The sequence below is a fragment of the Homo sapiens genome, chromosome 18, assembly GCF_000001405.40.
Source record: "Homo sapiens chromosome 18, GRCh38.p14 Primary Assembly".
NCBI classification, from domain to species: Eukaryota; Metazoa; Chordata; class Mammalia; order Primates; family Hominidae; genus Homo; species Homo sapiens.
The window spans coordinates 62,887,364-62,910,841 of record NC_000018.10 but is presented as its reverse complement, the minus strand read 5'-3'; the positions used below and the strand labels follow the sequence as shown (position 1 = coordinate 62,910,841).

Below are 23,478 nucleotides of genomic sequence, written 5' to 3'. Positions count from 1 at the left end.
TGGCGATGTGGGCTCTTTTTTGGTTCCATATGAACTTTAAAGTAGTTTTTTCCAATTCTGTGAAGAAAGTCATTGGTAGCTTGATGGGGATGGCATTGAATCTGTAAATTACCTTGGGCAGTATGGCCATTTTCATGATATTGATTCTTCCTACCCATGAGCATGGAATGTTCTTCCATTTGTTTGTGTCCTCTTTTATTTCCTTGAGCAGTGGTTTGTAGTTCTCCTTGAAGAGGTCCTTCACATCCCTTGTAAGTTGGATTCCTACGTATTTTATTCTCTTTGAAGCAATTGTGAATGGGAGTTCACTCATGATTTGGCTCTCTGTTTGTCTGTTGTTGGTGTATAAGAATGCTTGTGATTTTTGTACATTGATTTTGTATCCTGAGACTTTGCTGAAGTTGCTTATCAGCTTAAGGAGATTTTGGGCTGAGACGATGGGGTTTTCTAGATAAACAATCATGTCGTCTGCAAACAGGGACAATTTGACTTCCTCTTTTCCTAATTGAATACCCTTTATTTCCTTCTCCTGCCTGATTGCCCTGGCCAGAACTTCCAACACTATGTTGAATAGGAGCGGTGAGAGAGGGCATCCCTGTCTTGTGCCAGTTTTCAAAGGGAATGTTTCCAGTTTTTGCCCATTCAGAATGATATTGGCTGTGGGTTTGTCATAGATAGCTCTTATTATTTTGAAATACGTCCCATCAATACCTAATTTATTGAGAGTTTTTAGCATGAAGTGTTGTTGAATTTTGTCAAAGGCATTTTCTGCATCTATTGAGATAATCATGTGGTTTTTGTCTTTGGCTCTGTTTATATGCTGGATTACATTTATTGATTTGCATATATTGAACCAGCCTTGCATCCCAGGGATGAAGCCCACTTGATCATGGTGGATAAGCTTTTTGATGTGCTGCTGGATTCGGTTTGCCAGTATTTTATTGAGGATTTTTGCGTCAATGTTCATCAAGGATATTGGTCTAAAATTCTCTTTTTTGGTTGTGTCTCTGCCCGGCTTTGGTATCAGAATGATGCTGGCCTCATAAAATGAGTTAGGGAGGATTCCCTCTTTTTCTATTGATTGGAATAGTTTCAGAAGGAATGGTACCAGTTCCTCCTTGTACCTCTGGTAGAATTCGGCTGTGAATCCATCTGGTCCTGGACTCTTTTTGGTTGGTAAACTATTGATTATTGCCACAATTTCAGAGCCTGTTATTGGTCTATTCAGAGATTCAACTTCTTCCTGGTTTAGTCTTGGGAGAGTGTATGTGTCGAGGAATGTATCCATTTCTTCTAGCTTTTCTAGTTTATTTGCGTAGAGGTGTTTGTAGTATTCTCTGATGGTAGTTTGTATTTCTGTGGGATCGGTGGTGATATCCCCTTTATCATTTTTTATTGTGTCTATTTGATTCTTCTCTCTTTTTTTCTTTATTAGTCTTGCTAGCGGTCTATCAATTTTGTTGATCCTTTCAAAAAACCAGCTCCTGGATTCATTGATTTTTTGAAGGGTTTTTTGTGTCTCTATTTCCTTCAGTTCTGCTCTGATTTTAGTTATTTCTTGCCTTCTGCTAGCTTTTGAATGTGTTTGCTCTTGCTTTTCTAGTTCTTTTAATTGTGATGTTAGGGTGTCAATTTTGGATCTTTCCTGCTTTCTCTTGTAGGCATTTAGTGCTATAAATTTCCCTCTACACACTGCTTTGAATGCGTCCCAGAGATTCTGGTATGTGGTGTCTTTGTTCTCGTTGGTTTCAAAGAACATCTTTATTTCTGCCTTCATTTCGTTACGTACCCAGTAGTCATTCAGGAGCAGGTTGTTCAGTTTCCATGTAGTTGAGCGGCTTTGAGTGAGATTCTTAATCCTGAGTTCTAGTTTGATTGCACTGTGGTCTGAGAGATAGTTTGTTATAATTTCTGTTCTTTTACATTTGCTGAGGAGAGCTTTACTTCCAACTATGTGGTCAATTTTGGAATAGGTGTGGTGTGGTGCTGAAAAAAATGTATATTCTGTTGATTTGGGGTGGAGAGTTCTGTAGATGTCTATTAGGTCTGCTTGGTGCAGAGCTGAGTTCAATTCCTGGGTATCCTTGTTGACTTTCTGTCTCATTGATCTGTCTAATGTTGACAGTGGGGTGTTAAAGTCTCCCATTATTAATGTGTGGGAGTCTAAGTCTCTTTGTAGGTCACTCAGGACTTGCTTTATGAATCTGGGTGCTCCTGTATTGGGTGCATAAATATTTAGGATAGTTAGCTCCTCTTGTTGGATTGATCCCTTTACCATTATGTAATGGCCTTCTTTGTCTCTTTTGATCTTTGTTGGTTTAAAGTCTGTTTTATCAGAGACTAGGATTGCAACCCCTGCCTTTTTTTGTTTTCCATTGGCTTGGTAGATCTTCCTCCATCCTTTTATTTTGAGCCTATGTGTGTCTCTGCACGTGAGATGGGTTTCCTGAATACAGCACACTGATGGGTCTTGACTCTTTATCCAACTTGCCAGTCTGTGTCTTTTAATTGCAGAATTTAGTCCATTTACATTTAAAGTTAATATTGTTATGTGTGAATTTGATCCTGTCATTATGATGTTAGCTGGTGATTTTGCTCATTAGTTGATGCAGTTTCTTCCTAGTCTCGATGGTCTTTACATTTTGGCATGATTTTGCAGCGGCTGGTACCGGTTGTTCCTTTCCATGTTTAGCGCTTCCTTCAGGAGCTCTTTTAGGGCAGGCCTGGTGGTGACAAAATCTCTCAGCATTTGCTTGTCTATAAAGTATTTTATTTCTCCTTCACTTATGAAGCTTAGTTTGGCTGGATATGAAATTCTGGTTTGAAAATTCTTTTCTTTAAGAATGTTGAATATTGGCCCCCACTCTCTTCTGGCTTGTAGGGTTTCTGCCGAGAGATCCGCTGTTAGTCTGATGGGCTTTCCTTTGAGGGTAACCCGACCTTTCTCTCTGGCTGCCCTTAACATTTTTTCCTTCATTTCAACTTTGGTGAATCTGACAATTATGTGTCTTGGAGTTGCTCTTCTCGAGGAGTATCTTTGTGGCGTTCTCTGTATTTCCTGAATCTGAACGTTGGCCTGCCTTGCTAGATTGGGGAAGTTCTCCTGGATAATATCCTGCAGAGTGTTTTCCAACTTGGTTCCATTCTCCACATCACTTTCAGGTACACCAATCAGACGTAGATTTGGTCTTTTCACATAGTCCCATATTTCTTGGAGGCTTTGCTCATTTCTTTTTATTCTTTTTTCTCTAAACTTCCCTTCTCGCTTCATTTCATCTTCCATTGCTGATACCCTTTCTTCCAGTTGATCGCATCGGCTCCTGAGGCTTCTGCATTCTTCACGTAGTTCTCGAGCCTTGGTTTTCAGCTCCATCAGCTCCTTTAAGCACTTCTCTGTATTGGTTATTCTAGTTATACATTCTTCTAAATTTTTTTCAAAGTTTTCAACTTCTTTGCCTTTGGTTTGAATGTCCTCCCGTAGCTCAGAGTAATTTGATCGTCTGAAGCCTTCTTCTCTCAGCTCGTCAAAATCATTCTCCATCCAGCTTTGTTCTGTTGCTGGTGAGGAACTGCGTTCCTTTGGAGGAGGAGAGGCGCTCTGCGTTTTAGAGTTTCCAGTTTTTCTGTTCTGTTTTTTCCCCATCTTTGTGGTTTTATCTACTTTTGGTCTTTGATGATGGTGATGTACAGATGGGTTTTCGGTGTAGATGTCCTTTCTGGTTGTTAGTTTTCCTTCTAACAGACAGGACCCTCAGCTGCAGGTCTGTTGGAATACCCTGCCGTGTGAGGTGTCAGTGTGCCCCTGCTGGGGGGTGCCTCCCAGTTAGGCTGCTCGGGGGTCAGGTGTCAGGGACCCACTTGAGGAGGCAGTCTGCCCGTTCTCAGATCTCCAGCTGCGTGCTGGGAGAACCACTGCTCTCTTCAAAGCTGTCAGACAGGGACACTTAAGTCTGCAGAGGTTACTGCTGTCTTTTTGTTTGTCTGTGCCCTGCCCCCAGAGGTGGAGCCTACAGAGGCAGGCAGGCCTCCTTGAGCTGTGGTGGGCTCCACCCAGTTCGAGCTTCCCGGCTGCTTTGTTTACCTAAGCAAGCCTGGGCAATGGCGGGCGCCCCTCCCCCAGCCTCGTTGCCGCCTTGCAGTTTGATCTCAGACTGCTGTGCTAGCAATCAGCGAGATTCCGTGGGCGTAGGACCCTCTGAGCCAGGTGTGGGATATAGTCTCGTGGTGCGCCGTTTCTTAAGCCGGTCTGAAAAGCGCAATATTCGGGTGGGAGTGACCCGATTTTCCAGGTGCGTCCGTCACCCCTTTCTTTGACTCGGAAAGGGAACTCCCTGACCCCTTGCGCTTCCCAGGTGAGGCAATGCCTCGCCCTGCTTCGGCTCGCGCATGGTGCACACACACACTGGCCTGCGCCCACTGTCTGGCACTCCCTAGTGAGATGAACCCGGTACCTCAGATGGAAATGCAGAAATCACCCGTCTTCTGCGTCGCTCACGCTGGGAGCTGTAGACCGGAGCTGTTCCTATTCGGCCATCTTGGCTCCTCCCCCAATAAAAATTTAACTGTAATATTTTCCCAATAGCTAAGTACTGACACATCTTGCATAATTATGATTGAATAGATTATTAAAATAGCTAAGCCTGTGTAATCTCAAGATAAAAGGCAAAATTCTGTAGAAGACAAATCATACAATAGTTGTGATTAAAAAGCATGGTGACTGTTAATAAACACACCAGAATTTAAGCCCTGAAATGAGTTAACAGTTGTCACCTTGAGTGGGCCACAAACTCCCTATGTTTAGAACATTTTTGTGTATCTCCTTTGGAGTTACCTTCCAAATGAGTTGCAATTTTAAAATTCATTGTTAAAAATTTTTAAGTTTACGTGGTATAAATACATACTGTAGACACTGTCAAGCCTTTGTGCCTTCAAGAAAAAGTCTACTATAATATTTGTGGGAACCGCAATAAATATAATACACTGCAGAAGCAAATTACCATAAAAGGTAAAATAGTTAGCATATTCAAAAAGGAGCTAAGAAAACCAAGCAGGTTGTAGAGAATTTCTATTTTGATAGGCTTTGTCATTATTTCCTAAGAATTTTTAGCGAAGAGATATATGTCTAAACAAGGGGTGTAAGAAATCCAAAGAAATAAAGCACTTAAAAAATTAAATCATCCTAAGACTTGGCAGAGTTTGAAAAAAAATTTTGAAAATAAAAAATAAAATTAACATTACTTCAGGGAAAGACAAAAAAATATGATTCATATAATGAAAAGAGTTATTAGAGCTTTAAGCCATATGGCCCTCAACTTACTCACCTTTCAAGTCCAAATGTGTGTTCAAATTGGTGTGCACAGGCACTTTGATGCTCTGGTTTGAACTACAAATGTATTTTAATCAATAGATATATATAATTTTAGAGAATAAAGTAAAAATCATTAATTTTTTAGCATTTACCTTCAAAATATTAAAAAGTACTTGTGCATAAGCTCAGACAGAATTACTAAATAATTTTCTAGTAGACTCTAGAGGGCTCTAAGACTTGACTTCTTACCTTGAAACATCCATGTAGGACAGATAATTTGGAACTGGGTAAACATCAAGTTGAACAAGTTCTAGGAAGAAAAAAAAAAACCCCACAAAGACATTACTATACAAATGACATAGAGACTCTTTTTGTATGTGGAACGTCATTACTGTGCTTTATTCTCTATTGTTTGTTTAGTTTAGGAAGTACAATACATCATTTGTTTAACTTTGAAAGTGCAGGAAAAGTAAAAAAGAACTTTTAATCACAAGATCTTCTTCAGAGATTGAAATACATCATGCATTCTAATTTCCTACCTCTTTGCTATCCATTTACTGTTGCTCTTATTGTTATGCAGGCTGTATCACATCTGAAAGATTAACCACGAGTACCATCCTTTTAAAACCCAAGGGTCCTTCCATAAAACCAAGTAATGCTTCTTGTCTTTTGCCCTCATCACCTTACTGAAACAGCACTCCAGTGGGTCACAAATGACTTATTTTACTTAAATCTGAAACACTTCCTGAACACTTTATGAAATATGACACCACTGTCCCCTGTCACTGTGTTTCTTGGACAAGAGTAGTTTGTAAATGTCCTTCTGCTTCTCTAAACAATTACCAAGTAATTCACAGGTGCAGCTCCTATCTGGTTGCCCAGTCTGGCTGCAGCTAAGTGTGAGGGGCTTGTAAGTTGACCTTTGGTACTAGCACTCTCCTCTCTTCCAGTTACCTTACTTCCCTGGTTTCAGGTATCACCTCTGAGCAGGTAAGTCTCAAATCAACATATGTAATCTTGACTACAAGTTCCCATTAACCCACATGAAGCCCATCACAATAACTTGGATTAGTGGAGTAGTGGATTACCCTCAACCTTCTTCTATAAATGCATTCTGTACACACTATTTTCACATTAACTGCCTTAAAGCATCACTTCCATCAAGTCTCCTCCACTTTAGAGTCTCTACTGGTTCTCTATCGCTTACTAAGCTAAGGGCAATGCTTGACCATCTGACAAAAGCATGCATCCCCTAATTACTTCTATGGGTTCAGAATTCCCTGTTTTCTCCCAACTGCCGAACAAGCCACATTCAGATTCTTTCTTCCTACTTCATTCCCACTGGTTATCTAAATCCTATAACCCTTCAGTGCTCAGCCAAACTGATTACACTAGAAAATATACCTATTTGAGGCTTGGCTTGTTTTTCTGAGATAACAGTAATCACATTTGAAAAATCCTTCATCTTTCAGAGCTCATGAGCTGCACTATGCATAAAACAAGTGCGTGATAAACATATGTTCAACTTGCAGTAGTGAACACTTGTTTTCATTCAGTTTACTGACTGTAGGGAATGGAAACCTTCATCTTAGCAAACATATGCCCATACTACCTTTTCTTTTTTGGAACTGCCCTGATTTTCAGATTCTTAGGAAGAAATATTATTAAATGATTAAGACTCTAGCTTCATGGTGTCCTTCTTGTGCATATATCATTCTAGTTTATCTTTTTTAAATTATCTTTTCTTGTCTTTTTTTTTTTTTTGAGACAGGGTCTCGCTCTGTCAACCAGGCTGGAGTGCAGTAGTGTGATCTCAGACGACCGCAGCCTCCACCTCCTGGGCTCCAGCAATCCTCCTGCCTCAGCTTCCCATTCCCAAGTAGCTGGGACTACAGGCATACACCACCACGCCCAGCTAACATTCTGGTTTATATTAAGGTGAGTTCTTTGTTAGTCAAACATGAAACTGGAGATCCCGAATGGAGTCAAAATAAAACTTCCTTTCATTCTCCAGTATTAAATAAAGGTTCCAGATTTAGTAATAAGGTAGTAAAGATCTCTAGATCTTGGTAATGTAGCCCAAGAAATAGTTCACTTTTCTCTCTTCCTTTAAGCAGAAAAATCAAATCAAAAGTGGGAGTAACTTATCCAAATCACAATACGAGAAAAAAATTAGGGACAATAAAATTTTCCTTTTTGAGTCCTTTAAACAATAAGTCAGCATTTTTCTTTTGTGACTTTTATTTTAGCAAAATTTGAGCTATTTTACTAACTACTTGAGCAAAGAATAATCAGAAGCAGAAATAATGATGCTGGGTAAATTCCTGGAACCAAAAGAGCAACTTTGATGTAGCCTATGATACATACCATTAGAAGAGGCATAGAGCGCTTTTAGGAAATAGCCACAGATGTCTAATGTGACCAGTTGATTCCTTTCACAGTGTAAAACTTCAATGTTGTTGAAAATCATAGCATCTAGATCACCAAGCTTATTGTCTCGTAGGTCAAGCTGAGTAACATGCTGTAGAAAGTCCACTTCATCTGCTATCAGCTTCCTAATTACGTTCAACCTTGAGGGCAAAGGACATAGAGACTATAATTAACTGCAATGCTATAAGTAAATGGGCACACCCTAATATGAGAAATAGCGAGAAAGAACTCAGTTCTCTCTGTATTATAGTTCTCCATGATTTTTGGAATCTCAGCATCCGGCCTTTCTTAACTAGCCAGAGTATCTATTTTTAGCTATAATTCCAGGAGGTTTTAACCTTCACAATATATTCTGAAACACAAGTGACACCACTACAGCTGGGAGAGGAATAAGCACATTGACTTTACCTTAATTCACTTCAAGAGGGAAAAAAATTCCACTTAAGCACTGACTTCCAAAGAACTAGGAACTGACATCCAAGGAACTGTGAAACTATCTACACCATACCGAAAAGAACATAAGAAACAAAACTCAGAACAACTGTTAGGCACATCACAACTACAACGAATATTTAATGAAGGAGAGAGGATGCATGAACAGGCGGATGAGTAGCATGGAATTAAAGGTTGAGGTGGAAAAACAGTAATGGACGGGAGTCACACAACGAATAAGAGTTGCACACTGAATGGGAGCACCAGAGATGGGAATGCAAGTACATGACTCCCAACTGCTCAGGACCAGGATGAACCACCAAAACTATCTCTGTCTATAAAATACTGCTTGATAGAGTGAAGTGCAGAAAATACTGAAATCCGGCATCTAGAATCCATTGAGAAATCTTAGAATGCCGGACAAAAATGGGAACCAACACCTCTGTGATGAAGCAAGGCACAGGGGAAAACTGGCGGAATCTCTAGCCATAAGAACTAGTGAGCTAACTGACTGAAGTTGCTGTGGATGAACTATCAGAAAATAAGTAGTAATGGGGACTAGGAACCAAAATAACAAAGACATATTTAGCTTCAAAAGGGAGAAAAATAGATGGAAATGTCAATTTCCAGTTTGTTAGGCTATGTCTAACTCCTTTAAAAACAAACAACAAAAACCATCTATTTTCCATTACAAAGCCAGCAAAGTGCTGAGATGATGCACTTGTTTAGAAAAGTATTAATATAGGATGGGTGCGATGGCTCACACCTGTAATCCCAGCACTTTGGGAGGCTGAGGTGGGTGTTTCACGAGGTCAGGAGTTCGAGACCAGCCTGGCCAGCATGGTGAAACCCCATCTCTACTAAAAAAAAAATACAAAAAATTAGCTGGGCATGGTGGCACACGCCTGTAATCCCAGCTACTCGGGAAGCTGAGGCAGGAGAACTGCTTAAACCCAGGAGGTGGAGGTTGTGGTGAGCCAAGATCACGCCATTGCACTCTAGCCTGGGCGACAGAGCGAGACTCCATCTCAAAAAAAAAAAAAGAAAAAAGGAGTATTAATATAAGTCTAGAGTACAGGAAAAAGCTAGAGTTTCTCTATAGTGAATTTCTGTCCTTTAAAAAAATAAAATAAACCTATGGAAAATGAATTAAGAATAATATCCTAAAGCCACTGAAACACAAGGATGAGTTCCAGCAAAGAGCTGGGATTTGTCAACACGCAAGCACAGCATATGGCCTTTTCCAATGGCCCTAAGAGGATGTTTTTTTGGCTCTTTCTCTTTTTTTATTCCAGGTTGTAAGATTTAAAAACTGGCCTTGACCCAGCAATCTGCTTATTTCCAAATGCTCACTAGATTACTAGAATGTGTAAACAGAATAAAAAAGAAAAAACACATCTCATCTTGGGTACAACAGACTGCAGGAATGGAACAAATGTCCCATCTTCTTCCCAATCTACACTTCAAATAACCTTCATAATGGCTTTATCATCTTCACTTGAAAGAGCCACACACAATTTCATTCAATACAATGAAATTGTATTAGTACTAAAATAATAAGCATTGAATTAATAAGGAGACAAAAAAATCTATAACAAAAGCAAAGTTAATGTAACAAAAAAGAAAGCTAACATTTGGCTTAAGTTGTTAACTCTCACCATGACTGAAATACCAAGTTTTCAGGTTCACACAGTAATTCAGCTACTTAGGATGAACCGTTTTATTATTTGTTTAATTGACAGATAAAACTGTACATATTTATTGTGTACAGCATGACTTTTGAAATATACGTAAACTGTGAAGTGACTAATTCTAGCTAGTTCACATGCACTATCTCACATAGTTATTTGTGAGATATTTCACTTTTGTGGTGAAAATACATCCACTCTCTTAGCATTGTTCAAGAATACAATATATTATGGCAGGGTGTGGTAGCTCAAACTCTGTAATCCTACCACTTTGGGAGGCTGAAGTAGAAGGTTCGTTTGAGACCAGACTGGGCAACAGAGCAAGACCCCATCTCTACAAAAAATAAAAAATTAGCCAGCCATGGTGGCACGTGCCTATACTCCCAGCTATTTGAGAGGCTGGGGCAGGAAGATCACTCGAACCCAGGAGTTTGAGGCTGCAGTGAACTGTGATTGCACCACAGCTTGGGTAACAAGCTGTGATTGCATTCCAGCTTGGGTAACAAAGTGAGACCCTGTCTCAAAAAAAAAAAAAAAAAAAAAAAAAAAAGAAAGAAAAAGAAAAAACAAGAATACAAACAACTACAACATATTGTTGACCACAGTCACCATGATGTAACTAGGACAAACTTTTTATTTATTTATTTATTTATTTATTTATTTATTTATTTATTTATTTATTATTTTAAGGCAAAGTCTTGCTCTGTCACCCAGGTTGGAGTGCAGTGGTGCGATCTTGGCCCACTGCAACCTCCGCCTCCTGGGTTCAAACAAGTCTCCTGCCTTAGCCTACCGAGTAGTTGGGACTACAGGAACATGCCACCACAGCCAGCTAATTTTTGCATTTTTAGTAGAGGCGGGGTTTTGCCATGTTGGCCAGGCTGGTCTTGAACTCCTGACCTCAGGTGATCCACCTGCCTCGGCCTCCCAAAGTGCTGAGATTACAGGCAGGAGCCACTGCACCTGGCCCAGACAAACTTTTTAAAAGGCAAAATATGATGAAAATTCCCTTCTGGCCAGGCGTGGTTACTCATGCCTGTAATTCTCAGCACTTGGGGAGGCTAAGGCAGGAGAACAACTTGAGCCCAAGAGTTTGAGCCAGCCTAGGCAACAAACTGCGGTCCCATCTCTCTAAAAAATTTAAAAATTAGCCAAGTGTGGTAGTGTGTACTTTTCATCCCAGCTACACAGGAGGCTGAGGGAGGGGGATCACTTAAGTCCAGGAGATCAAGGCTCTAATGACCTGCGCTTGTACCGCTGCACTCCAGCCTGTAGAAGGGCTATGGTGATGGTGACAACGATGATGACCTATGGCTTTGTTGCAGTAAGAGATGAATAAAACAAGGTGTTTTTCAACAGATTTCACAATTTAGTAAGGAGAGTCAAATATGTTTTATAAAATACAGGAACTACAGGTATGTGGTAAGTGCCACGAATGATGTATAAAATGTAGAGAATGGTTTTTTAAAAAAGAGGCTATGGAAAAGGAAGCAAATCATCTGATTCCCAAGAGTAGGCAGAATGGAACAGGTGTACATGGGAGAAGAAAAGCAGGTGCGAGGAAGCAATGGAACAGCCTCTGCATCAAACAGAAGAGCACAGGGCAAGTTTGGTGCCTGCCTGAATAGCTTCTACAGGAGGGCAGGGGATGCAAGGGTCTGTGCTACAAAGGTGGGTGAGGCAATTAACCAAGGACTGGACCTACTAAGGACTCACACTGGGGTTGAAGGATAAATAAAAACAGTGCTTAAATTATCTATGGTGAAGGAGACCTATTTTCTAAAGTTGTAATTCATGACAGACTGATGTATAGTACACAACCCATACACAGCTCACATCACATGCAACTCACTGTGCAAGTTTGACAACATCTAAATTAGTTGAGGCCAGGCGCAGTGGCTCATGGCTGTAATCCCAGCACTTTGGGAGGCCGAAGCAGTTGGATCACTTGAGGTCAGGAGTTTGAGACCAACCTGGCCAACATGGTGAAACCCTGTCTCTACTAAAAATACAAAAAATTAGCCGGTCATGGTGATGGGCGCCTGTAATCCCAGTTACTTGGGAGGCTGAGGCAGGAAAATTGCTTAAATCTGGGAAGCGGAGGTTGCAGTGAGCCGAGATCACACCACTGCACTCCAGTCTGGGCAACAAGAAATTCCGTCTCAAAAAATAATAATAATAATAATAAATAAAACAAAATAAAAAAAACTAGTTGATTCCCTGTACAGCAAGAATCAACTCGTAATGCAGTTGGATATTGTGGCAATGTCAAATCATTATATGTTACTAAAATATTAGTCTTAACTTCTGTACACATCTCATTGTGGAAAAGTAGCAAATAGTTAACTTGCCACCACAGGTTGGAGGCCCACACATGAGCAGCTCAGAGATAGAGCCTCATCCTCAAATGACTCACATACCAGTGGGCTGAAACCAAATATGAGGGCTTGAGTACCTTGAACTAGAGAACCGCAGGCTCTGAGCAAAATTGTGCTTGCTTGGGAGGCTGCACAATGGAAGCAAATGGCTCAGGTAGAAGACAACAGTCACAGTGAGAAGAAAAAGGAAGGGATAAAAGACAGAAACTCATGTAAAAGAAGAGCTGACAGAATCAGCCAAGAGTTGTGTGTCTGGAAAACCAATGAGGTGGTGTTGCTATCAGCAAAAAAAGAAATCCATGAGAAAGAATTGGTTGAGTAAGAAAGACACTGAACTCTGTTTTACATGTATTTGGTTAAATGTGTGAATAGGGAAAACCAAGAAGTTATCCAGCTGGCAGCTTAAGTGGAACTGGTCTCAAGAAGTCAAAGAAGGAATAGGGAAAGACTGGGGAATGATTAACATCAAGATGAAAGGTGAAAATGAAGCCTGAGAGTATATGCAACCCCCAAGGCAGAAAACATGGATAGAAAGAGAACTGACCAAGAAGTAACAGCCACACTTTGTACAAAGAGGAGAAAGAGGAGAAGGGAGGAGGAATTATTAATGATGCCACAGAAGAAATAATATCAAACTCAAACAACATCAATGCAAAGAAAAAAATAATCAATCTGATGTACCATTTCCATTTAAAGGGAAAAAAAATTGAATAAAAGTGGCCCTTTACTTAGAGAAACTAAGCAAGACTCTCCTTAAATTACTCCACTAGCTTTGATTTTAAGTATTAAGGCAGAATTAGGCTGGGTGTGGTGGCTCATGTCTGTAATTCCAGCACTTTGAGAGGTCGAGGCAGGTGGATCACTTGAGGTCAGGAGTTCAAGACCAGTCTGGCCAATATGGTGAACCCCTGTCTTCAGTAAAAATACAAAAACTAGCCAGGTGTGGTGGCGGGCACTTGTAATCCCAGCTACTCGGGAGGTTGAGGGAGGAGAATCTCTTGAACCCAGGAGGTGGAGGTTGCAGTGAGCTGAGATCATGCCACTGCACTCCAGCCTGGGCGACAGACAGATACTCTATCTCTGAAAACAGAAGCAAAAACAAAAACAATAAACAACAAATAAAGTATTAAGGCAGAATTAGAACAAACCTATCTGATTTTCCCCTCCTCAGCTCAGGAGCCAGGAAGGAAGCAGTTACTCATGGTCATGCAACATTTACAGAGTGTCTAATGTCTATTCTGGTATTTAAATATCCTGTAGGTGATGTCATCTAAAAACTCAAGTTAGAACTATGAATCTGAAGAATTTATAAAGCTCTTACTAAGATTTATTACTTCCAGACATTTCAGATTGATCTTATGTGTAAGCTAATTCAGATCAAGAAAAATGATGTCTCCCTACATGTACCAGGTAACTCAGAAATCATCTCATTCTTACTACCTGAGGTCAGTGCAAGCCATTGTCCTTGGCTCTAATGAAGTTCTACCACTGGTGGATGAATAAAATAGGGCTCAAATTCTGGAATATGAGGGTTTTCTAAATACAAGGAACTCAAGAGGCAAATAATGTTAACAATTTAGAAAGCAAGTTAACAAAGTGTTTAGAGTTCCTTATCTTGTCACATTCCAAGAAATTCTCAAAAATCAGATAAATTATAACCACTTTTACCTCCAAATTAAGAATTTTATATCTGCAAATTGCTAATACTTCCCTAGGAGGGACAGGTCTGATTCCTTTATTCTGAGGAAAGGTGAAGCCAAGCAATTCTTTATGGGACTGGAATGTATAGGTTTCCTAGGCTGAACCATATGAAAGGAGAAGAAAGGGGAGCAAAAGGTGATGCTCCTTTACACTGATGAAACTGAACATGCCTGAGTACTTGGGAGGCTGAGGCAGGAAGATCACCTGAGCCCAGGAGTTTGAGGCTGCAGTGAGCTCTGAGCACATCATTACACTCCAGGCCGGGCAAGAGAGCAAGGCCCCATCTCTTTAAAAACAACAACAAAAAACAGGACGGGCATGGTGGCTCATGCCTGTAATCCCAGCACTTTGGGAGGCCGAGGCGGGTGGATCACGAGGTCAGGAGATCGAGACCATCCTGGCTACTAACACAGTGAAACTTCGTCTCTACTAAAAATACAAAAAAATTAGCCAGGCATGGTGGTGGGTGCCTGTAGTCCCAGCTACTAGGGAGGCTGAGACAGGAGAATGGCATGAACCTGGCAGGCGGAGCTTGCAGTAAGCCGAGATCAGGCCACCGCACTCCAGCCTGGGCGACAGAGCGAGACTTTGACTCAAAAAAAAAAAAAACAAGAACAACAAAAAAAACAAAAACCAACAACAACAACAAAAAACAGCTCTCTCACTCAACTGGGTTCCAATCTGCAAAACAAAGACCTTCAAGACATACATCAGTGAGAGTTTCCAGTAATAGCAAACCCTACTATTAATCATAATTCTTCCCTCTAGGCAGAAATAGAAAAACGGGCCCACATTCAATTACCCAGCTTGTTTGCCTTGGTTAATAACCTACTCCCCACCCCTGCAATATAAGCCAGCCACTCAAATGAGATCTATTTCTCAAAAATGGTTACCTTAGATCCACATGTTTAATGTGAGGCATTTTTCTTAAAGCCTGTAGCCTAAGGGTCTCCACACAGTTTCCAGACATACAAAGTTTATCCACAGCAGTCAATTTCTCCAATACTTCGGGAATGTCAGTAAATTCATTGAAAGAAAGACCCAGATAACTAAGCTGCTTCATGTTCTCCAACTCAGCAGGAAGGGATTGGAGAAAGTTTCCATCCAACAAAAATGTCTGTAAGCTATTAGAGAAAACATAAGAATTACAAAGAGAACATATAAATTTTACATCTTTATTATCAACATACAAGTTCCATAAGTGTAGACCGTATTACCAGAAAATGTATTATTCTTCGCAAAATGCCTAAGGGCAGGGCCTGAGGCAATAATGGACCAAAGAGAAATAATCAGAGATAAGCATCTTAATCTTTTATTGAAAATGAAAATCATGACTAGTTTTCCCAATTTGAATAGGCTTAAATGGGAGCAATGTGAGCTAACTGTGATATGAATTGATTCAGATATCCTTTGGGCTTTCCTTGTTATTTCTTAAAATTAATTTCTAAGTCTTAAAATTCAATATAACTCAGAAAAATGAGAACATAACCCACATTCCATGTTTAGACATACTCATCTGTAGGGATCTTCAGTTCTAAACAAGAATATTTAATTTTTTTACAAGACTGTAAGGAGTACAAATCCAACATATGAACTCCATACGGACTACATAGTCCCTGATCTCTTGATTTGGGGCCAAGACTTACATGAGCAACATAACAAGTTAACTAATCTCATGTGCCACACCCCCAATGCAGCTTCCCTGGGGCTTCTGGATATACCCGCCAGTGGGGTTTGAAGTACACACTTGTGCATCACTCCAACGGCTGCCGGGACTGATCGCAGGGCATTGCAGGACACGTTCAGCTCTGCCAGGGTTGGAATACTGCAGACTGCCAGTGGGAAGTCCCCTAAATGATTATTGGAAAGGTTAAGACTCTTCAACTTGGTGAACCTATTACAATAAAGCAAAACAAAAGGGAAAAAAGAGACAAATGTCATTAACATCATAATTTTAGCATAGCCTAAGAGATAATCTAGCCCAACTCCCAAATTCAACTAAAGAGGAAATGGGGGCCCCAGAGAGGTTAAGGAGCAGCAGCACTGGAATGCACATCTGCTGACTCTAAGGCCAGTGTTTTACCTAAAATGTAAACATTCTATCTAAAAACAAACTTTTCCCTCTAAAATAAGGTTGAATATTTCAGGAAGTGAATTCTGCTGGAGAAAGCTTTCTAGCAGTATCTCAATTAGCTTAATTAACACAGTGTAAATGGCCCCAGTGAAGGAGGAAAGGGACCAGGCAGAGCTGGCGTTAGCCCTTCTGGAGTCGGTGCTGTTTCAGACAAGTCAAAAACTCCTGTTTCATGTTTCTCAAACCCAAAACTGAAATAATAAAAACTTATCAAAACAATACTCTCTCTAAGGTAACCAGGACTTCGCAGTTCCAAATTTAAGAACCAATTATCAGCTGGGCCTGGTGGCTCAGGCCTGTAATCCTAGCACTTTGAGAAGCCGAGATGAGTGGATCACTTGAGGCCAGAAGTTTGGGACCAGCCTGGCCAACATGGTGAAACCCCATCTCTACCAAAAACACAAAAAATTAGCCGGGCCTGGTGGTGCACCCCTGTAATCCCAGCTACTCAGGAGGCTGAGGCACAAGAATCACTTGAACCTGGGAGGTGGAGGTTGCAGTGAGCTGAGATTGCACTCCTGGAATGTAGCCTGGGCGACAGAGTGACACTCTATCTCAAAAAAGAACCAATTATCATTCGTCGATCTCAATACAGTACTTGATTGATGCTGCTGACCACACACCCTTCTTCTTAGCTCTCTTAAGCCCTCTTCTCATGTATTACCTTCCTTTTCTTCATCTTTTCTTCCCCAACCCAAATTGAAGTAATCTTCATAGATAGGTTTTTTAGCAGTTTCATGCTCTCTCTACACTGTTTTCCTTGGAAATGTTTTGACTCCTATGTGAGCAATTATCTCAGTCCTATCACATGCTGGCTCCTCTCCTGAGCTACCCCACATTTCCAGCCCCAAACTGAACTTACCATCTTTATTCCAAACTGGCACTTCTTTTTCCTCTATTTTTGTTAATAGCCCTTTCATTTTCACAGTTGCCCAAGCAACTTAAGCAATTAAAGAAGCTATCTTTAATTTTTTACTTCTCTGTGCACTCTTACATTTGGCCTATCAACGACCTCTACACCATCTCTAAGTAAGATAAGAATCATATTAGTGACTGCGTTATGCTAACTCCTTTAAAAACCGCCCACGTCTAATCCTAGACAGTATGCACTCTGCCTAGAAGAGACACACACACTCTAAAAATAAACACAATTCAACCCAATCAGTATATGTTAAGCTGTATTCTAAATAGTTAAATAAAAGTTGATTCTAAATGGAAAGCTGACCATGTACCTATTTGACAGGTTGAGTGTTACCTTGATTTTTAAATAATACCTGTTTACTTGGATGGCTGAGTATAATAGACTTAATTGTATTTTAAATTTAAAAAAAATCACTTAGGGAAGAATTATTCCTAAATCTGGATAATCGTTTTTAAACTGTTTTATATTAGGGCCGTTAGGCCTTCTTAAAGAATGCTTATCCTCAGCCAGGTGCAGTGGCTCATACCTGTAATCCCAGCACTTTGGGAGGCCGAGGTGGGCAGATCACCTGAGGTCAGGAGTTCAAGACCAGCCTGGCCAACATGATGAAACTTTGTCTCTACTAAAAATACAAAAAAAATTAGCCAGCCATGTTGGTGGGCACCTGTAGTCCCAGCTATGCTGGAGGCTGAGGCACAAGAATTGCTTGAACCCGGGAGACAGAGGTTGTGGTGAACCGAGATCACGCCTCTGCACTCCAGCCTGGGCGATAGAGCGAGACTCTGCCTCAAAAAAAAAAAAAAGCCTATCCACTATTCTGATTATTTATAATCACTGCAAAACACAAGCTAGAATTACAGAGCCTCTTATTCCTAGTCCAGTGATTCTAAAAGCATGCTTGGGGGACCCCAGAGGAGGTACCCGAGACCCTTTCAGAAGATCCACATGGTCAAACTTTTTTTTTTTTTTTTTTGAGATGGAGTCTTGCTCTGTCGCCCAGGCTGGAGTGCAGTGGTGCGATCTCGGCTCACTGCAAGCTCCGCCTCCTGGGTTCACGCTGTTCTCCTGCCTCAGCCTCCCAAGTAGTTGGGACTACAGGCACCCGCCACCATGCCTGGCTAATTTTTTGTATTTTTATTAGAGACGGGGTTTCACCATGTTGGCCAGGATGGTCTCGATCTCCTGGCCTCGTGATCCGCCCGCCTCAGCCTCTCAAAGTGCTGGGATTACAGGCGTGAGCCACCGCACCTGGCTGTTCAAACTATTTTTATAACAATACTAAGATGTTACTTGCTTTGTGCCACTTTCTTCCGCACACCTAACTGTCACTCTCATATTTCAGTGGAGACTTCCAGACAGTACCTGCTTTTGTAATAGCATACCTGATGGAATACAGAAAGAGATATGAGAATCCAGCCAGATATTAAAAGATTCACCAAAATAGAAGACAACGACACTCTGGCCGGGTGTGGTGACTCACGCCTGTAATCCCAGCACTTCGGGAGGCTGAGGCCGGTGGATCACCTGAAGTCAGGAGTTCGAGACCAGCCTGGCCAACATGGTGAAACCCTGTCTCTACTAAAAATACAAAAATTAGCTGGGCGTGGTGGTGTGCACCTGTAGTCCCAGCTACTCAGGAGGCTGAGGCAGGAGAATCGCTTGAACCTGGGAGGCGGAGGTCACAGTGAGCCGAGATCGTGCCATTGCATTCCAGCCTGGGTGACAGGAGCAAAACTCCGTAAAAAAAAAAAAAAAAAAAAAAAAAAGAAAGAAAGAAAGAAAAGAAAGAAAATGAAAAGAAAACAATGACACTTTTCTTACTATTTTTGTTTTGAAAAACTGTTTTTTCATTTAAAAAGTTACTAAAAACATCATTTATGTTAATATGCTTTATTACTGTCTAAATGAATTAATATACATTAAAATATTTCTTTCTTTTTTTTTTTTTTTTTTTTTTTTTGAGAAAGGGTCTCTATCGACAAGGCTGGAATGCAGTGGTGGGATCATGGGTCACTGCAGCCTCAACCTCCTGGGCTCAGATGATCCTCCCACCTCAGCCTCCTGAGTAGCTGGGACTACAGGCACGCACCACCAAACCCAGCTAATTTTTTTTTTTTTTTTTGTAGAGACGAAGTTTTGCCATTTTGCCCAGGCTGGTCCTGAACTCCTGGGCTCAAGCAATCTGCCTGTCTTGGCCTCCCAAAGTGTTAGAACTAAAGGCATGAGTCATCGTGCCTACCCTAAAATATTTCTTTTCTTTTTTTGAGACGGAGTCTAGCTCTGTCATCTAGGCTGGAGTGCAGTGGCGTGATCTCGGCTCACTGCAACCTCCACCTCCTGGGTTGCAATTCTCCTGCCTCAGCCTCCCAGGTAGCTGGGATTACAGGTGCCGAGAACCACATTTGGCTGATTTTTGTATTTTTAGTAGAGACAGGGTTTCACTATGTTGGCCAGGCTGGTCTCGAACTCCTGACCTCAGGTGATCCGCCCGCCTTGGCCTCCCAAACTGTTGGGATTACAGGCGTAAGCCACTGCACCCAGCCTATATTTCTTAGTTAAATTTATAATTCAGCAAATATCGATATATATAATTGACATAAATAAATGTTGCTTAAGGTCCTCAATATTTGAGAGCAAAGAAGTCCTGAAATAAGATTGCCATATGAAACACAGTACATCCAGTTAAATTTAAATTTCAGATAAACAATAAATATTTTTAATAGTATGTCCCAAACATTGCATCATGGGGCACACTTACACTGAAAAAAGTTATTCAATGTTTATATGAAATTCAAATTTAACTGGTGCTTCCTCCCCTATCCCCTAACCTAAATCTGGCAACTCTATCTGATATAAAATGTTTATCCTAGGCATCACAGATGAAACTGCTGCTCTAGTACAAACAAAAACAGCATTCCACTTTCTAGATATTTTTCCCCATTTGAGAGAATGGGCCAGTTTTAAAATTTGCATCCAATTAAATTAACTTAAAAAAAAGTTCCTCTAGGAAGAAAAAAAATCCACTAGACATTATCCAACATAATAGAGCACGTGAACTTTTCAAAGTGGGGAACAGAAAGGCTGCAGAGCTAGTAATTACTCAAGATGAGAAATGAAAGCATTGGCTTTTGGAAAAGTATAGGTCAATAATGTGGCGGGGCGGTGGTGTTTAATTCATTTGTGCAAACAAATTTACTAGGATGATATCACTCCTGAGGATAAAGGAAAGCAGCAATACGCTGAATGAGGAAAATGCAGTTAACAAGTTTTAAATGGAAAAGAAGGCTTGGCGGAGTGGCTCACGCCTGTAATCCCAGCACTTTGGGAGGCTGAGGCGGGTGGATCACCTGAGGTCAAGACTTCGAGACCAGCCTGGCCAAAATGGTGAGACCCCATCTCTACTAAAAATATAAAAATTAGCCGAGCGTGGTGGCGGGTGCCTGTAGTCCAGCTACTCGGCAGGCTGAGGCAGGAGAATCACTTGAACCAGGGAGACAGAGGTTACAGTGAGCCGAGATCATGCCACTGCACTCCAGCCTGGGTGACAAAGCAAGACTCCATCTCAAAACAAAATAAATAAATAAATTATTTATAAATAAATAAAATGGAAGAGAGAAAAAAAACCTCTTAACAAGTATCTCCCATTCATTTTATGTATATACGAACATTGTGAAAGTGATAATGACCCCTACCTCTAATTATAAAGAGAAAGAGATACAACCATTCTCTGCATCAGCTAAATGAGAAAACACTACTCTACTAGCTTTACGTAAAGAGAACTGCCCTCAGTCCTAGGTGCCAAGTGCCCCCTACAGAACAAGGAGTCGGGGGCACCCTTTCCCAAGAGCTGCAAGGTCCAGTATAATACCACAAGTGCCAGGTAGCATTGGGCACCTGAAATGGGACTAGTCCTAATGGAAATGTTCTTGAAATACAAAATATAGAGTAGATTTCAAAGACTGAGTACAAAAAAGAATATAAACTATCTCATTAACTTTTTAGAACTGATAACAACTGATATATTGGCTTAAATAAGAATATATTATTGAAATTACATGTGGCTCATATTATATTCCCATTGGAGAAGTGCCTTCTCCATACTAAGAGTAAGCAGGAGACTGGAATTCCTTACCCTGCACACCAACCTTGCCTCCAGAGCTTGTGTGGGTTCTTCCCTGGGTTCATCCTCCCACCAGTGTGTGCACCCATGTGCCCTAGCATGGGCAGAGCTTGGACATATGGGCTGCAGTGTCCACACCCCTGGTACGGTGAGGAATGGAGCTGGAGGAAGGAAGAGAAGAGGTGGGGTCCCTGGCCCAGCTCTGCCCATGTTATCATATTCAGTGCAGAATCCCAGGGAGTCTGAGGATTCTAAATTGGAATCTGTGTTTCCAGGACATTAATTTTATATTTGACAAGGTAGAGGGAGATAACATATTTTACTTAACAGTTTCTTAGCTTGGTTATAACTTAAATATTCAGATATATGGTATGTGGCTCTCCATTTATACTCGTACCCTAGACCTATAAATTTTAAGAGCTGATTCTGACTTAAAAGTATCCTCAAAGTCTTGCTCCTTCTCACTACATTCCCCACCCCCTTTGCATTCCTCCCTGTGCAGCCAATCCCCCAAACTCTTCCCAGAGAAGGACATGGTATTCAGCAGATACTTATCAAATAAAGCATGGATTGTTTCTGAGAACTTAAGTTCTTGATCTGAACGTATCAACCAACATTAAAACACATCTGTTGTGGTAACTAACCCTTAGCCTTCTCAGAGTTCCACTTTTCCTTTCTAGATGTGGAAAGCAGTCAGATTATAGGACATTTGCAGATCCAAATACTGTTTCAGAGAAAGATAGAGGGGAGGTCCACAGAGAATTCACTTCCCTCGAGTATTTGGAATGAGTGAAACACATACTTGGAAGCAATGTTTAAGTTATGAGAGATAAGAGATCAAAAGGGTGAATGGATGACCTTTCTTCACTTTACCTTCATTTAAAAAGAATGCAAAGGAGACAGCCAGGTGACAGCACCCTGGTATGGAGGAAAAGTCTAGAAATCTCTGTCTCTGTAATAAAATATAAGACTTTCAGCTTTGCCATAATAGGTAAGCCAGATATTTTTATTAATTCATTCATTCATTATTTTGAGACAGGGTCCACTGTGTCTGCCAGGTTGGAGTGCAGTGGTGTGATAACGGCTCACTGCAGTCTTGACTTCCCAGGCTCCAGCAATCCCACCTCAGCCTCGCAAGTAGCTGGGACCACAGGTGTGCATCACCACGTCCAGCTAAGTTTTGTATTTTTGGTAAAGACAGGATTTCTCCATGTTGCCCAGGCTGGCCTCAAGGGCCTGAGCTCAAGCAGTCTACCTGCCTCAGCCTCCCAAAGTACTGGGATTACAGGTGTGAGTGACCACGCTTGGCCAGGTAAGCCAGATAAATGATGAAATGCACACAGACCCAGATTCCAAGATAAAATTGACTGGTTTTAAAAAGAAAAAAAAAACATACACACACACACACACACACACACACACACACACACACACACACACATTTTGTGAAATATTTTAAATAATTCTATTTTAAACTAATATTTCAGTGCTACCGTTGCATTCAATGAGGCTACAGATATTTCTTCATAGCTGTTCAACATAGATAAGTGGAAGAGAATCACAGCATCACAGATTTTAAGATTACTAAAAAATATTTTAATGATGATTGTACTAACTACAGTGGTCGGTTTATAATCATAGCCAGGGACAATTCTACTTGATGCTTTAAAATGACAAGAAACCTGTGGCTTTTAAAAAACATCATGCCTGTAATCCCAGCATTTGGGGAGGCAAACAAAGGAGGGAGGACTGTTTGAGCCCAGGAGTCCAAGACTAGCCTGGGCAACACAGGGAGATCCCATCTCTACAAAAAGTAAAATAAAATTAGCCAGGCAGGGTGGTATGTGCCTGTGGTCCCAGCTACTTGGGAGGCTGAGGTGGGAGGACAGCTTGAACCCAGAAGGTTTAGGCTGCAGTGAGCTGTGACTATACCACAGCACGCCAGCCTAGGCAATACAGTGAGACTCTACCTAAAAAAAGAAAAAATAAAATAAAAATAAAAACAAAAAACAAAATTCCCATGTTGAAACTTAATCCCCAATGTGATAAGAGGTACGGTCTTTAGGAGGTAATTAGGTCATGAGGGTTTGTCCTTACAATTGGGATTAGTGTCCCTGTAAAATAAATTGAAGGGAGCTGCCTTGCCCCTTCAGCCACGTGAGGACGAAAGGAGGAAAGCTGCATCCTTGAAGCACAGAATGAGTCCTCACCAGACACCAAACCTGCTGGTGCCTTGATCCTGGACTTCACAGCCTCTAGAACTGAAATAAATTTCTGTTGTTTATAAATTATCCACTCTAAGGTAAATTGATATAGCAGCCCAAACAGACTAAAGCACTAAAGCAGTGGATATATCTTTCTTTTT

At 40.9% G+C, this 23,478-nt stretch overlaps 1 protein-coding gene across 1 annotated transcript in view, besides 5 other annotated features; it reads right to left on the bottom strand.

Moving 5' to 3' along the window:
- Positions 1 to 23,478, bottom strand: part of PHLPP1 (PH domain and leucine rich repeat protein phosphatase 1) — a 264,893-nt gene that overhangs the window by 69,592 nt on the left and 171,823 nt on the right. Inside the window, exons 5-8 of the mRNA NM_194449.4 lie at positions 15,685 to 15,831; positions 14,831 to 15,061; positions 7,676 to 7,878; positions 5,558 to 5,618 (exon numbers count right to left, since the gene is read on the bottom strand). Of these exons, the coding sequence (NP_919431.2) occupies positions 5,558 to 5,618; positions 7,676 to 7,878; positions 14,831 to 15,061; positions 15,685 to 15,831 (642 nt within the window). The remainder of the gene's footprint in view (positions 1 to 5,557; positions 5,619 to 7,675; positions 7,879 to 14,830; positions 15,062 to 15,684; positions 15,832 to 23,478) is intronic.
- Positions 3,699 to 4,310: an enhancer, noted in NCBI's record as "OCT4-NANOG-H3K27ac-H3K4me1 hESC enhancer chr18:60573765-60574376 (GRCh37/hg19 assembly coordinates)". NCBI's record gives its function as "activates a minimal SCP1, AML or CMV promoter by ChIP-STARR-seq in naive H9 embryonic stem cells {active_cell/tissue: H9 hESC(naive)}" and the evidence as "EXISTENCE:reporter gene assay evidence [ECO:0000049][PMID:30033119]".
- Positions 4,311 to 4,923: an enhancer, noted in NCBI's record as "OCT4-NANOG-H3K27ac-H3K4me1 hESC enhancer chr18:60573152-60573764 (GRCh37/hg19 assembly coordinates)". NCBI's record gives its function as "activates a minimal SCP1, AML or CMV promoter by ChIP-STARR-seq in naive H9 embryonic stem cells {active_cell/tissue: H9 hESC(naive)}" and the evidence as "EXISTENCE:reporter gene assay evidence [ECO:0000049][PMID:30033119]".
- Positions 11,811 to 12,312: an enhancer, noted in NCBI's record as "NANOG-H3K4me1 hESC enhancer chr18:60565763-60566264 (GRCh37/hg19 assembly coordinates)". NCBI's record gives its function as "activates a minimal SCP1, AML or CMV promoter by ChIP-STARR-seq in primed H9 embryonic stem cells {active_cell/tissue: H9 hESC(primed)}" and the evidence as "EXISTENCE:reporter gene assay evidence [ECO:0000049][PMID:30033119]".
- Positions 12,365 to 12,424: a silencer, noted in NCBI's record as "silent region_9521". NCBI's record gives its function as "represses an Ori minimal core promoter by ATAC-STARR-seq in GM12878 lymphoblastoid cells {active_cell/tissue: GM12878}" and the evidence as "EXISTENCE:reporter gene assay evidence [ECO:0000049][PMID:35858748]".
- Positions 22,641 to 22,810: an enhancer, noted in NCBI's record as "experimental_49136 CRE fragment used in MPRA reporter constructs". NCBI's record gives its function as "activates a minimal promoter by MPRAs in K562 erythroleukemia cells, with activity observed for both the introgressed and non-introgressed 18:60555350 variant alleles {active_cell/tissue: K562}" and the evidence as "EXISTENCE:reporter gene assay evidence [ECO:0000049][PMID:34662402]".